Source organism: Homo sapiens, chromosome 16 (genome assembly GCF_000001405.40).
Source record: "Homo sapiens chromosome 16, GRCh38.p14 Primary Assembly".
NCBI lineage: Eukaryota > Metazoa > Chordata > Mammalia > Primates > Hominidae > Homo > Homo sapiens.
Window position 1 is genome coordinate 72,566,010 of NC_000016.10, and position 15,117 is coordinate 72,581,126.

At 38.9% G+C, this 15,117-nt stretch overlaps 1 long non-coding RNA gene across 4 annotated transcripts in view; it reads right to left on the reverse strand.

Moving 5' to 3' along the window:
* LINC01572 (long intergenic non-protein coding RNA 1572) overlaps window positions 1-15,117 on the reverse strand; it is a 384,069-nt gene that overhangs the window by 285,108 nt on the left and 83,844 nt on the right. For 3 of the 4 annotated variants that reach the window (NR_126330.2, NR_159372.1, NR_159370.1), the window contains exon 2: window positions 4,426-4,506. The exons of the other annotated variant lie outside the window; for it this stretch is intronic. This is a non-coding gene — a long non-coding RNA (long intergenic non-protein coding RNA 1572). The remainder of the gene's footprint in view (window positions 1-4,425; window positions 4,507-15,117) is intronic. 4 annotated transcript variants of the gene reach the window in all.

Consider the following 15,117-nt stretch of genomic DNA (forward strand, 5'->3'; position numbering starts at 1 on the left):
AAAAGCAGTCCTCTAAGGACAATGGAGATAAGACTGGTCTGTATATGCTCCTGCTAAAGTTATTTATCTTGATACTGAGAGAGAAAAGATCTTAAGTTATAAAATAGGGAAATGAATATTGTATAACTTTAAAACCCTTCACTTTCCTTTTCTTTATGGCCTCAATTGCTCATGAAAAAAAAAACACAGAACTTTTAATCACTGCAGACAATGTTTCAAGAAGTTAAAAAATACCCTTCTATTAGACTTGCAGTGTCTTAACAACACTCTAGTGTTATTTCTTCTTAAAAAGGCCTCTAGTGCAATGAGTTAGCTGAGACTACCATACCAAATCTTCATAGCTAATAAAACTAGAGGTTTTGTAAACAGAACACCTACATAAAATGTCACATAAACTGGTATTCCTTAACAACTGGCACAATGAAAAGAGGAGACAGGCAGTGAAAGGAAGTCATCTGGAAAGAGTTACTGAAACCCTCAGTTTCCAAACTGGTTTCAACTAATTAATGTTGAAAAGTCGTCTTGTACTTTGGAAATGAAGCATTTGACTTCAAGGAAAGTCAGGAGAAAAAGGGGTTAAAAAAAAAACAACCAAGGAAACTGGTTATTTTATGTAGAAATATCAATAATGTCACCTAAAATCTGTAGTTTGATCAAGATTTTTTTAAGGAATTTCAAATCCCAGACAAACTAAAGTTCAGAGAATTTGCTGTTAGACCTGCACTACAGAAAATGTTAAAGGAAGTTTTTCAAGCTGAACTAAAACACCAGATGTAAACTCGCATGTATACAAGGAATGAAGAGCATTGGAAGTGAAAAATGTGTGGGTAAATACAGAATATATTTTTTTCATATCTTAATTTTTTTAAACATTGTAAAGTTGTTTTATGGTAGAAATCAAAGCAAAATATATGATAACAAAAACACAAAGAATGACAGGAGCTTAAAGACATATGTGATGTAGTTTAATTTAATTTGAAGGATACCCGAAGGAAATGAAATCATCACCTTATAAAGATATCTGCACTCCTACACTTACTACAGCTTTATGCACAACAGGCAAGATATGGAAACAGCTGGAGTGTCAACTGACGAGTGAATGGATAAAGAAATTGTGGTATACATATATACATACACAATGAAATATTATTCAGTCTTAAAAAATGAGATCCTGCCATTTACGACAACATGGGGATGAACCCAGAGGACATTATATTAAGTGAAATAAGCCAGACATAGAAAGAAAAATACTGCATGATCTCATTCATATGTAGAATCTGGAAAAAATACATATAATACATAGAAACAAAAAGTAAACTGGTGATTACCAAGGGAAGGGGTAGGGCAGGGAAGAGGAAATTAGAATAAATAAGAGTATGTAGATCAAAGGGTACAAAGTTGCAGTTATGTAAGATGAATAAGTAAAAACAAAAAAAGGATGGATGGATGGATGGAAGGGTGGAAGGAAGGAAGTGAGGGAGGGAGGGAATAGAAACTTGAACAATCAACTTGACCTAATTAAGTTCTAGAAGAGTAAATCGAGAAACTGCAGAACATACATTCAAGTGCAGAAAAAACATTCACCAATTCTTCTAATGCATCTCAATAATTTTTTTAAAGTCTCAATAAACTTTAAAAGCTGATCTAATACGGTGTTTGTATTGTGACCAAAACAGAATCAAATTGGAAATCAATTACAAAAAGATATTTAGAAAAGCCCCAAGTATTTGTAATTACAGTAATATGCTTCTTAATAACATATAGGACAAATAAGAAACCACAATTATAAAATGCTTTGAACTGAATAATAAACATACAACGTATCAAAAATTAAGGGTGCAGCTAAAACAGTGTTTGAAGGAAAATCTATAGCTCTTAATGTTTACATTAGGGGGAAAAGTTTAAAATCATCTAAGTTTTAAAAAGTACAAATTTAAATCTAAGAAAGCAGAGGAAAGAATATGTGAGTGAAAATTATTGAAATAGAAAAACAGACATTACAGAGAAAACCAATAAAATGTACATACATTTTAACCTGCAGTTCCTAGATACACCTATACAGGTATAAAATCACTATTTGACAGTAACATCCATCAGATATGAATTTATAACTAAGAAAATGAAAAAAACTTAGATGACAAAAATGAAGAAACTTGTTAGATAGACATCTATATAATAGAATGCAACGCTTCATTTTTTAAAAAAACGGCAGCTTTACAGGTACTAATGTGGCATGATCTGTGATCAAGCAAACAACAGCAAGATGCAGAACAGTTTGTAAAGAATACTACCGTACATGTAGGTGTGTGCTTTTTATTTATTTATTTTTCTGGTGTATGTTTTTTAAAGCATATGTGCATGCATTTATTTTTATATATTCACATATGCATAAAACATATCTAGAAATACACAGCAGAAACGGGTAATAGTGGCTGCTTCTGGAAAGAAGACCTATGTGTCTTCTATATATGGGTGGTATTATAGTTCAGTGGGTACCATTTTGCCCTGTAGAATTTAATAATGTGTAAACATTCTACATTTTAAAAAATATTTCAAGTTTAAAAAAGGGTAATAAATATCATAAGAAAAGGGGAGAAATGGGAAAAACAAAAGCCAGAAGGACTGGGGTCAGAAGGACTAGACTAGTTATTTACACAGTTTGGCTTTCTGAATAAGCAGCCTCCTTTGAGGCAGCAGGTCATTGTTTATCTAGATAAGATAGCTGAGAAACAAAAGCTTCGGTGGCCTTTTTCTATTCACCTTACAGTGTGTCTAAAACAACCATGGCAAGAGTCCTTAGCTAGATATACACCTAAGGGGATTAAAGAGGTACAGATGGACAAGCTCATAGGATTTCCCATTTACTGCTATAGAGGCCCACATTCAGGAATCTTTCTTTGAGCCTGCAGATCCTACCTACCCAAGCTACCGTGTATCCTTTGCTCTCTATCTATGATGGAGAAAAAAGGGATTGTGCAGTAATTGCTGCATGACCACATATACATAGGGGTGTCACAAAAGCCAGCAGTCAGAATTTGCTGTTATGCTATTTTCAGTATCAAGAACCCAGATAAAAGCAATCTTCAGGAAGTAAAATCAAAATATTTACCTTTCCTTTGGATAAAATGTTTAAATTCTCCAAATTTAAAAATTAAAGTTACCCTCTATATTCAGAGCTATGGAGAGTGTGATGTTGTTTATAGCTCTCCAAACAGCCAGATTTGATATATGATATTAGAATATTTTCTCCTCTCTGGTTTTGTTACCTTCTTCTGAAACAATAACTTTTGTTTTATGTGGTTTAAGTATCTTTTCTATTTTAATTAATAAAAATTTAAATATTATCAATCCTCAGGCAGCATATTTTATAAAAGGCTATCAAAAGTCACTTCTTATTTCAATTCTTCTTGGTATAATGTACCTGGTCTTATTAAAATTACCCACAAAATAAATAATCCTTTCTGATTAAATTATTCAAACAGTACCACTAATACTGAAAAGTGATGTGACAGAAGTCTTAGTATTTGGAATTTATCTTTAGAATTCTTAAGTTTTCCATGAAGTACTCCATTTAAATCTCCATTGTTTTCTTTAACCCATGGGGAAATTATTACACTCTTTTCAGGCAAGGTAGTAATAGGTTCCTTTAACCATGTCAATAAGCATTACAGTAGTAGGTAACAAAAGCAAATATGCATACATGTGTCACCTCTTTCTTTTTCTTTCTTTTTTCTTTTTTGAGAGAGGGTCTTTCTTGCTCTGTCACCTAGGCTGGAGTGCAGTGGCATGTGCCACCTAGGACTACAGGCGTGTGCCACCACGGCTGGTTAAGAGATAGGGTTTCACTGTCGTGTAGGCTGGGGTGTAGTGGCGCAATCACGGCTCACTGCAGACTCAAACTATTGGGCTCAAGCAATCTTCTCACCTCAGCCTTGCAACATGCTGGGATTATAGGTATGAGCCACCATGCCTGTGGCCCACGTGTCATTTCTTGAAACACAGACATGGTCTGATATATAGCTTACGTAGGCAAAAACCACTTCAACATGTTTAAACTTTAGAAGAAAATGAATGCACAACCAGGGAAAAGCCAAATCAGACTTGTAAATCCATCAAGAAAATTCTTCGAATTTACTTCCAGTCATCACCAACTATCCAACAAAAAAAGTAACTATTTTTTTCTACTCTATATTCAGTGTGAAAGCTAAACAGAAATGTTATATATAAAAATAGAAGGATCTCGGTTTGGGGGATTTGAAATATATATAATTTAGATTACCTTTTATTTGTTTGCTGTTTATCATTTACTTATTTTGCCTAGGTGCATAAGAAATAGCATTGTGGGTCAATGAAGCAAAAGCTAAAAATGCCTAATATCAATGGTAGCAAAATTTTATCTCATTAACATACAGTTAAAATACTTACCTCACATATTACTTACATAAAATCACATCCATGATTAGGTTCAGGTATACTCCTCCATTTGAAAATTTTATACCTTCCCCTCTGTAGGGAAAAAGAAAATCTATTTTCTTTCTCGAAAATAAAAATAGCATGAGTAATGGGATCTAATTAAACTAAAGAGCTTCTGCACAGCAAAAGAAACTACCATCAGAGTGAACAGGCAACCTACAAAATTGGAGAAAATTTTCGCAACCTACTCATCTGACAAAGGGCTAATATCCAGAATCTACAATGAACTCAAACAAATTTACAAGAAAAAAACAAACAACCCCATCAAAAAGTGGGAGAAGGACATGAACAGACACTTCTCAAAAGAAGACATTTATGCAGCCAAAAAACACATGAAAAAATGCTCACCATCACTGGCCATCAGAGAAATGCAAATCAAAACCACAATGAGATACCATCTCACACCAGTTAGAATGGCGATCATTAAAAAGTCAGGAAACAACAGGTGCTGGAGAGGATGTGGAGAAATAGGAACACTTTTACACTGTTGGTGGGACTGTAAACTAGTTCAACCATTGTGGAAGTCAGTGTGGCGATTCCTCAGGGATCTAGAACTAGAAATACCATTTGACCCAGCCATCCCATTACTGGGTATATACCCAAAGGACTATAAATCATGCTGCTATAAAGACACATGCACACGTATGTTTATTGCGGCACTATTCACAATAGCAAAGAATTGGAACCAACCCAAATGTCCAACAATGATAGACTGGATTAAGAAAATGTGGCACATATACACCATGGAACACTATGCAGCCATAAAAAATGATGAGTTCATGTCCTTTGTAGGGACATGGATGAAATTGGAAATCATCACTCTCAGTAAACTACTGCAAGAACAAAAAACCAAACACTGCATATTCTCACTTATAGGTGGGAACTGAACAATGAGAACACATGGACACAGAAAGGGGAACATCACACTCTGGGGACTGTTGTGGGGTTGGGGGAGCGGGTAGGGATAGCTTTAGGAGATATAACTAACACTAAATGATGAATTAATGGGTGCAGCACACCAGCATGGCACATGTATACATATGTAACTAACCTGCACATTGTGCACATGTACCCTAAAACTTAAAGTATAATAATTAAAAAAAAAATCAATTTGCAGAGACAAATTTACATATAAATAAAAGTATGCCTGCAGCTTGTAAGTTCAATCAATAAAGCCACAAGCATTTGTTAAATGCTTCCTATATGCCTAAAAAAAAAATAAATAAAAATTAAAAAAAAAATAGCATGAGTTCCAAATTCCAAAGGTGGAATATTTCAGTGATAAACCCGGAGAAAAATAAGTCACCAATAGTGTAGGTAAAAAGATTTTCCCGAAAGACTACTTTCTCCTGATACAAAAAAGCTACTGCTTTAATAAAGGACATCATTCGATTCATGTTATAAAACATACAAGTTAGTAACTTATACTGCTTGCAGATAAATACACTTATAGTAGAAATATAAAAACATGTGTAAGAATGAAAATTCTGGGCAGGCAAGGTGGCTCATGCCAGTAATCTCAGGACTTTGGGAGGCCAAGGCAGGAGGATCACTTGAGCCCAGGAGTTCGAGATCAGCCTGGGCAATATGTTGAGACCCTACCTCTACAAAAAAATATACAAAAATTAGCTGGGTATGGTAGTGCACACCTCTAGTCTCAGCTACTCAGGAGGCTAAGGTGGGAGGACTGCTTGAGACCAGGAGGTGGTGGTGGCAGTGAGCAGAGATCACACTACTGCACTCCAGTCGATGTGACCAAGTGAGAACCTGTCTCAAAAAAAAAAAAAAAAAAAGAAAAAGGAAATCTGTCATGAAACACTACTAGGGAAGGAGGGAGAGAGGACAATGAAATAGGAGAGGTAAACAATGGGAACAATAATTGTATTTCTAACATGTAATTGGAGGAGAAGGAACAGCAACAGGGAATAATGCACAGTGCTAACATTTTACAAAGCTTGGACTAGGCACATAGGTGTTTACTATACTATTCTCTATTTTTATCTGTATATTTAAAATATTTCAAAAAATACCATTTATGTAACAAAAAAGCATATGCAGCAATAAATATACAAAAGATTAAAAATTCTAAAACTTTATTAAAAGACAATAGAAAAGATATAAATAAATGGAAAGATATAAATGCATATTTATGATAAAAAGGCTTTTTCTTTTTTTTTTTTTTTGAGAACAAGTTTCGCTCGTGTTGCCGAGGCTGGAGTTCAATAGCACAACCTTGGCTCACCGCAACCTTCGCCTCTTAGGTTCAAGCGATTCTCCTGCCTCAGCCTCCTGAGTAGCTGGCATTACAGGCATGCGCCACCACACTGGCTGATTTTGTATTTTTAGTAGAGATGGGGTTTTTCCATGTTGGTCAGGATGATCTTGAGCTCCCAACCTCTGGTGATCAGCGCCCCTCGGCCTCCCAAAGTGCTGGGATTACAGGTGTGAGCCACTGCGCCTGGCCTAAAGGCTCTACGTTTTAAGGAGAGCAATTCTACCTGAAATCAACCAATAAATTTAAAAATTTCAATAGCCTTTGTCTTGAACATGACAAGTGACCATAAAATGTACATGAAAAAGCCAAGAGGAGGGAATGGCCAATATACTCACGAAGAAGGACAAATTGAAGGTATGTGCCCTATCAAAACTCCTCTTCCAAACACCAACACTTTTTTTTTTTTTTTTGAGACGAGTCTTGCTCTGTCGCCAGGCTGGAGTGAAGTGGCACCATCTTGGCTCACTGCAACCTCCGGCTCCTGGGTTCAAGCAATTCCCCTGCCTCAGTCTCCTGAGTAGCTGGGAATACAGGCATGTGCCACCATGCCCGGCTAATTTTTCGTATTTTAGTAGAGATGGGGTTTCACCATGTTGGCCAGGATGGTCTCGATCTCCTGACCTTGTGATCCGCCTGCCTTGGCCTCCCAGTGTTGGGATTACAGGGGTGAGCCACTGCGCCCAGTCCACCAACACTTATTGAGCCAAGATAAAGACATAGTGGTAGTAGTACAGCAACTGAGAACCAAGAGAACTCTTTCACACCAAATCACTGCCAGGTGGAGCACATTCCTAAATGTAAGAGACATACTGTACTATTTTTCTTCTGTAAAAACAGTAAAACACAATTTATAACAGAATTTTTATAATACGACAGCAGGAAAGGATTTCTTACACAAAAGACTGAAAGCATTAACTATTTAAAAAGATTAATAAATTGGACTACATTAAAATCAAGAGCTTTTACTCATCACAAAGTACAATAAAAAACGTTTAAAGTCACAAATTAAGAGATGTTTTATACACACACACACACACACACACACACTCAACAAAAGATTCTCATCCAGAATATTTAAATGACTACCATAATTTAATAACAAATGAAAAATGAATAGAAAAACTGGCAAAAAAGCTGTTCAGAGAAAAGAAAACACAAGTGGCCATAAACATTTGAAAAGACATTCAATACAGCCGATGCTGTGGCTCACGCCTGTAATCCCAGCACTTTGGGAGGCCCAGGTGGGGGGATCACAAGGTCAGGAGTTCGAGATCAGCCTAGCCAACATGGTGAAACACTGTCTCTACTAAAAATACAAAAATTACTGGGACATGACGGCATGCGCCTGTAATCCCAGCTACTCAGGAGGCTGAGGCAAGAGAATTGTTTGAACTCAGGAGTCGACAGAGCAAGACTCCATCAAAAAAAAAAAAAAAAAAAAAAAGACATTCAATCTTATTATTAATGAGGTAACTGCAAATTGAAATAAAAAGATACCATTTCAGAACCACAAGGCCAACAAATATTTTTAAATCCCAACAAATATAGATGTTGTCAGAATGAGAGGAATTCATGCATATCATTAGTGAAAGCAAAAATCAGTATAAGCACTTTGGAGAAAATAATTGGCATTTCTAATAAAGCTAAAGATCCACACAGTCCCTGGCCCAGCAAGTCCACTCCCAGATAAAGATGGAATATAGACTAGATGTGTGTGTGCATCAGATATACATACAAAAAACATTTTATCAGCATTATTTGTAGCAAGAAAAAACAATTTGTAGCAAAAGCCTAATTTTTCATTAACAGTAGAATAAATACATCATATAGCAGTGGAAAGGAAAATTAAACTATAGCTACATTGGTCAACTTGACTAAAACTTAAACGTAACTGTGCACTAAAAGAGGTAGGGATTTGAAATAGGACAATACCAATGATTCAAGGGAACTGAATGAAAGAACTAAGTTGGCAAAAGGAGAGCAGAGAAGCAGAAGCAAATGGAAAGAAGAGGTCTTAAAGAACCAGTTTGGGGAAATTTGAAGTTTCCCAAAGAAGACAGTGAAGTTCCACAAGAAGGAAGTGGACAGAGTAGAGTTGGTGGAGCACATACTTAGCAGGGGTTTGAGAAGACAGTTTTCAGTCGACTTAGATGGTCCCATGGGAGAAGCAGGATCCAGTTTAGAAAGAACAGAGAGGACCTTAAAAATTATCTGTAGCCTGAGTAACAACTTCCAACTAAGCCAACTTCTGATCATAGTGCTCTAAAAGTAAATCCTTTCGAATATATTGTCATCAGGTTTTAACTGGGACAAAGAGTAAATATTCCTGGCAGTATGAAACTCTTTTTTCTTCTTCTTTTCTTGTTTTTGAGATGGAGTACTGTTCTGTCACCCAGGATGGAGTGCAATGGTGCAATCTCAGCTCACTGCAACCTCAGCCTCCAGGGTTCAAGCAATTCTCCTGTCTTAGCTTCCCAAGTAGCTGGGATAACAGGCACCCGCCACTATGCCTGTCTAATTTTTCTTTCTTTCTTTTTTTTTTTTTTTTTGAGACAGAGTCTTGCTCTGTCACCCAGGCTGGAGTACAGTGGCATGATCTCGGCTCACTGCAATCTCCACCTCCCGGGTTCAAGTGATTCTCCTGTCTCAGCATCCCGAGTAGCTGGGATTACAGGCATGCACCACCATGCCTGGCTAATTTTTTGTATTTTGAGTAGAGACAGGGTTTTACCATGTTAGTCAGGCTGGTCTCGAACTCTTGACCTCAGGTGATCTGCCCATCTCAGCCTCCCTAAGTGCTGGGAATATAGGCGTGAGCCACCGCACCCGGCCAAGCCTAGCTAATTTTTTGTATTTTTAGTAGAGACAGGGTTTCACCATGTTGGCCAGGCTGTTCTCTTAACTCCTGACCTCAGATGATCTGCCCACCTCAGCCTCCCAAGGTGCTGGGATTACAGGTATGAATGAGCCATCGCGCCCAGCCTCTTCTTTTTAACTAATGGTTTCTATCCGGGAACTCAGAACCAAAACTAATGACCCTTTTATGACATAAACATCTCCAAAAAACGATGTGTTTGCTGTAATCTCTGCCTGGACCACTCTGTCCCTCTGTCGCCAGATATCCAGATGATTCTCTCCTTCACCTCTCCTTTACCTCCCACTTTACTCAAATGACAATAAGGACTCCCCTGACCTTACAATGGATTACATTATCAGTCTCTATGCTTCACTCTATACTACAGAGTGTAGTACTATCACATATCTACATTTCTGGTGTCATGGTGGCCAAATGTATGTCCTAGCCCCTAGACTTTAGCCTTGACCATACAATTTGTTTGGTTGCTAGGAAGTTAGCAGACATGATTCAAGCAGAGACTTAAAATGGTTTGCACTGCTAGCCTTGGTCTCTTGCACTCCTGCTTTTGGCCATGCAAAAATAACATAATTCGGTATTCCACTGGTGCCAGAAGAATGGGAGACATGTGGAGAACACCTGAACCTGAGCCATACCCTGGAGTCCTATCTAGCCTGGTATACATATATAGAACCCTAGGAGATCAACCAACATACATGTCTGGTGTTTGTAAGCCATTGACTTTTAGGCAGTTTGTTATACAGCACTATTGTAAAAACAGCAAATAGAAACTGAAAACCACCAACATCCAGACAGTCCTCACCCTCTTTCCTGGCTTATTTGTCTTCACAGCACTTAAGATACTATGTATTTTACATCTTTATTTTCTGTCCCTCTACATACACGCATCCACACACAAATAAAAGCTCCACGAAATAATTTTTGCTTCTTTTGTTTATTGTTATCACTCCTGCACCAAGACTAGCATTTGGCACATAACAAGTGTTCAATAAACATTTGTTGAATAATTTAAAGAAAAACAGCCAAAGTCCTCATACTCATGGAACTTATGTTTTAGTGGGGAAAAACAGAAATTAACAAGTATACAAATAATTATCATTAGATAGTTATGAGTGTTATAAGGAAACAACAATGATGAAATAGAAAATGATAAAGTATAAGCAGGAAGGGTTGTATAGGTGATTTTTCTTAAAGTTGCCATGCGGGGGTATCAAATAAACTGAATTCTGAATACAGGGCCTTATATGCATATGGGATGCCATTCTAGGCAAAGAGAACTGAAAATGTAATGACACTAGGGCAGGAACAAGCTTGCTGTTCAAAAACAGAAAGAGCACCTATAGTAGTAAGAGACGAAGTAGACAAACATCTGATGTACCAAGGGCCTCATGGGCCACAGTAGGGTCTTTGGGTTTTATTCTGATTACAGTTGGGAGCCTTTGGAGGGTCTTATGTAGGGAAATGATTTATTTTTAAGGTCATTTTGTTTGTTAGATTGACTGTAGGGGGCAAGAAGGGAAGTACGGAGATAAGTAAAGGAGCTACTGCAACAGTATGGGCAAGTGAGTATGACAACCAGGCCCAGGACTGAGGTAGTGGTGGAGCGGGTGAGCTGTTGAGGACATCTTTTGAAAGTAGAGCCAAAAGGACTTGCTGATTGAAGAGATGTGTTGTATGAGAGAAGGAGAGGCATCTGGAGGCTGAAGTGATTGGAATCAAGAATAGCCTCTTAATTTCTGTCTGAATAACTTATCAAAGAGTAGTTTCATTAACTGAGTTGAAGATGAGCAGTTAAGGGGGAAGCGACACCATGGGCTCCATTTTGTACACTTATTGATCTGCTTCTCCATACAAGGCACTGTGTTACACAGAAGTCATAGGTATCTGTTTTAAAGAACATTAAGCTTTTGTCAATTGCTAAGTAGAATCAATGGTTTCACTGCTGTCTGGATACTACTGGACTAAAGTCAAACCAAAACAAAAGCAAAAACAAAACAGTCCATGACAGACAGATATTATTAGTTGTCTTCCCAATACCCAGCCTCCTTTCCTCCTTATTAAAAATCTCTTACCAGGTGTGGTGGCTCACACCTATAATCTCAGCACTTTGGGAGGCCAAGGTTGGAGGATTGCTTGAGCCCAGAAGTTCGAGAAAAGCCTGGGCAACATAGTGAGACATCGTCTCTACAAAAAAAGTAAAAAACTAGCCTGGTGTGGTGGTGCGGCCTGTGGTATCAGCTACTCAGGAGGATTGCTTGAGACCAGGAGGCAGAGGTTGCAGTGAACTGAGATCCTGCCACTTCACTCAAGCCTGGGCAACAGAGTGAGACCCTGTTTAAAAAGGAAAAAAAGGCTGGGCGTGGTGGCTCATGCCTGTAATCCCAGCACTTTGGGAGGCTACAGGGGGCGGATGACCTAAGGTCGGGAGTTCGAGTCCAGTCTGACCAACATGGTGAAACCCTGTCTCTACTGAAAATACAAAATTAGCCGGGCGTGGTGGTGCATGCCTGTAATACCAGCTACTCAGGAGGCTGAGGCAGGAGAATCGCTTGAACCTAGGAGGCAGAGGTTGCAGTGAGCCCAGATTGCGCCATTGTACTTCAGCCTGGGCAACAAGGGCGAAACTCCATCTCCAAAGCAACAACAACAACAACAACAAACACAGAAAACAAGCTCTTGCTCGGTTTGTTTTGGTCGAGACTGCTCTGTGCCCGGTTAAAGATACTCACTGTGTATACCATTTATGTTAAAAAAAAAAAAAAAAAAGTAGGGGGGAAGAATACATATTTGATGTGCTTGCATATACATTTTTAAATCTCTAGAAGGATTAAAAAAGAGATTAATACCAGTGGTAATTTGTTGTGAGGAGGGTAGGTAAGGCAAGATACAGAATGACAGGGATGTGGATACAAAAGTGAGATTTTCACCATAAACTCTTTCACACTCTGATATTTTAAGCTTAAGAATGTCTTGGCTACTAAAAAAACATGTAAAAATATATATATATTTTTAATTTCACCATCTCATATTCCCTCACAAAGGTAACCAGGTAACAGTATTAGCTAATGAGAAATAAATGAAAGCCCTTGAGGAGGGTTTCTCTTTCCTAGTAAACATATAGCTTAGCAAGAAGATTTCTGCCTTTTGCCTTTGTTATTTTTCCCTCCTTATTACCTGAGATGTGGATGTAATGTCTGCAGTCGGAACAACCATTTTTTGACTAGAAGAACAAAAGTTACCCATTAAAGATAGAAAAACAGGAAGCTGTCAGAGAGAAACTGGGTCCTTGATGACTCTCTCAAATAGCTAATTAGTGCTTAACTACTTCTGAACTACTTGTTTAATAAGAAAATATAACATTAATCCACAGCAGTTAAGATGAAGTTGTAATTGATATAGTCTTAGAACCCACAATAAAATCCTGCACCATAATGCAAAAGAGGCTAATGGGTGGTCATAATGACAGAAAAAGGTGACATAAGAAACATAATGCCCTCAAGGCACTTCTAAGTTAACTTCTAAGAATAGATGGTATTACATAATTTCAAAGTCCCATAATTTACCCATCCTAGTATGTGTTTGGATGGCTGGGTTTCTCAACAATGTGAACATTTCCATTGATCTCTTGTCTTACATGAGTATAAGAAGATACTGTGAGGAGCAAAGGGAAGATTTAAAGAGAATAATTCTGAGTCTTGGCTATGCCTAATCATATGACTTTTAGGTATTAGCTTGGGAGTTGGCATAAAATCATTCCTGTTGTTGCAATTTCATAATGAGAATTACAGAATAGACTTCTAAAACTAACGAGGCTTAAATCTTGTTATTTTAACTGAAAGGAATATTTTAAGATGATGGTCAAGAATTAAGTTTGCAAAGGAATTGTTCTTTTGGGTTTCTGTTTTTTTGAGACAGGGTCTCATTTTATTGCCCAGGCTGGAGTGCAGTGGCACAATCACAATTCACTGCAGGCTCAACCTTCCAGGCTTAAGCCATCCTCCCACCTCAGCCACTTCCAAGTAGCTGGGACTACAGGCATGTGCCATCACGCCCAGGTAATTTGTTGTTGTTTTCAGATGGAGTTTCGCTCTTGTCGCCCAGCCTGGAGTGCAGTGGCGGGATCTCAGCTCACTGCAACCTCAGTCTCCTGGGTTCAAGCCATTCTCTTGCCTCAACCTCCTGAGTAGCTGGGATTACAGGCAGCCACCACCACACCTGGCTAATTTTTGCAGTTTTAGTAGAGACAGGGTTTTACCATGTTGGCCAGGCTGGTCTTGAATTCCTGACCTCATGTGATCCACACGCCTAGGCCATCCAAATTGCTGGGATTACAAGTGTGAGTCACTGCGCCTGGCCAATATTTTTTTTTTTTTTTGAGATGAGTCTCCCTCTGTCGCCCAGGCTGGAGTGCAGTGGTGCGATCTCAGCTCACTGTAAGCTCCACCTTCGGGTTCAGGCCATTCTCCTGCCCTAGCCTCTCGAGTAGCTGGGACTATAGGTGCCAGCCACCACACCAGGCTCATTTTTTGTATTTTTAGTAGAGAAGGGGTTTCACCACGTTAGCCAGGATGGTCTAGATCTCCTGACCTCGTGATCCACCTGCCTCAGCCTCCCAAAGTGCTGGGATTACAGGAGTGAGCCACTGCGCCTGGCTGTGCCCAGCCAATATTTTAATTTTTTGTAGAGACAGGGCCTTGCTACGTTGTCAGGGCTAGACTGGAACTCCTGTGCTCAAGCGATCCTCCTGCCTCGGCCTCGCCGAGTGCTGGGATAACAGGCATAAGCCTCTTCACCCGGTAAGAATTGTTCTTATATTCATGTTTGATTGCTTTTTGTTTATTTATTAAGAGACAAGGTTTCACCCTGTCACCCTCACCCAGGTTGATGTACAGTGGCTCAATCATAGCTCACTGTAGCCTTAAACACCTAGGCTCAAGTGATCTTCCTGCCCAGCATGCAGAATAGCCAGGACTGGCAAGGCTAATTTTTTTTTTTTTTTTGTAGAAATGGGTTTTTGCAACAAGCGCGGTGGCTCATGCCTGTAATCCCAGCATTTTGGGAGGCTGAGGCGGGTGGATCACCAGGTCAGGAGTTCGAGACCAGCCTGACCAACATGGTGTAAATCTCATCTCTACTAAAAATACAAAAATTAGGGGAGGGTGGAGCCAAGATGGCTGAATAGGAACAGCTCCAGTCTACATTTCCCAGCATCAGAGCAGAAGACGGGTGATTTCTGCATTTCCAACTGAGGTACCGGATTAATCTCACTGGGGAGTGTCGGACAGTGGGTACAGGACAGTGGGTGCAGCGCACCAAGAGGGAGCAGAAGCAAGGCGAGGCATCACCTCACCCGGGAAGCACAAGGGGTCAGGGAATTCCCTTTCCTAGTCAAAGAAAGGGGTGACAGACGGCACCTGGAAAATCGGGTCATTCCCACCCTAATACTGCACTTTTCCAACGGTCTTAGCAAACGGCACACCAAGAGATTATATCC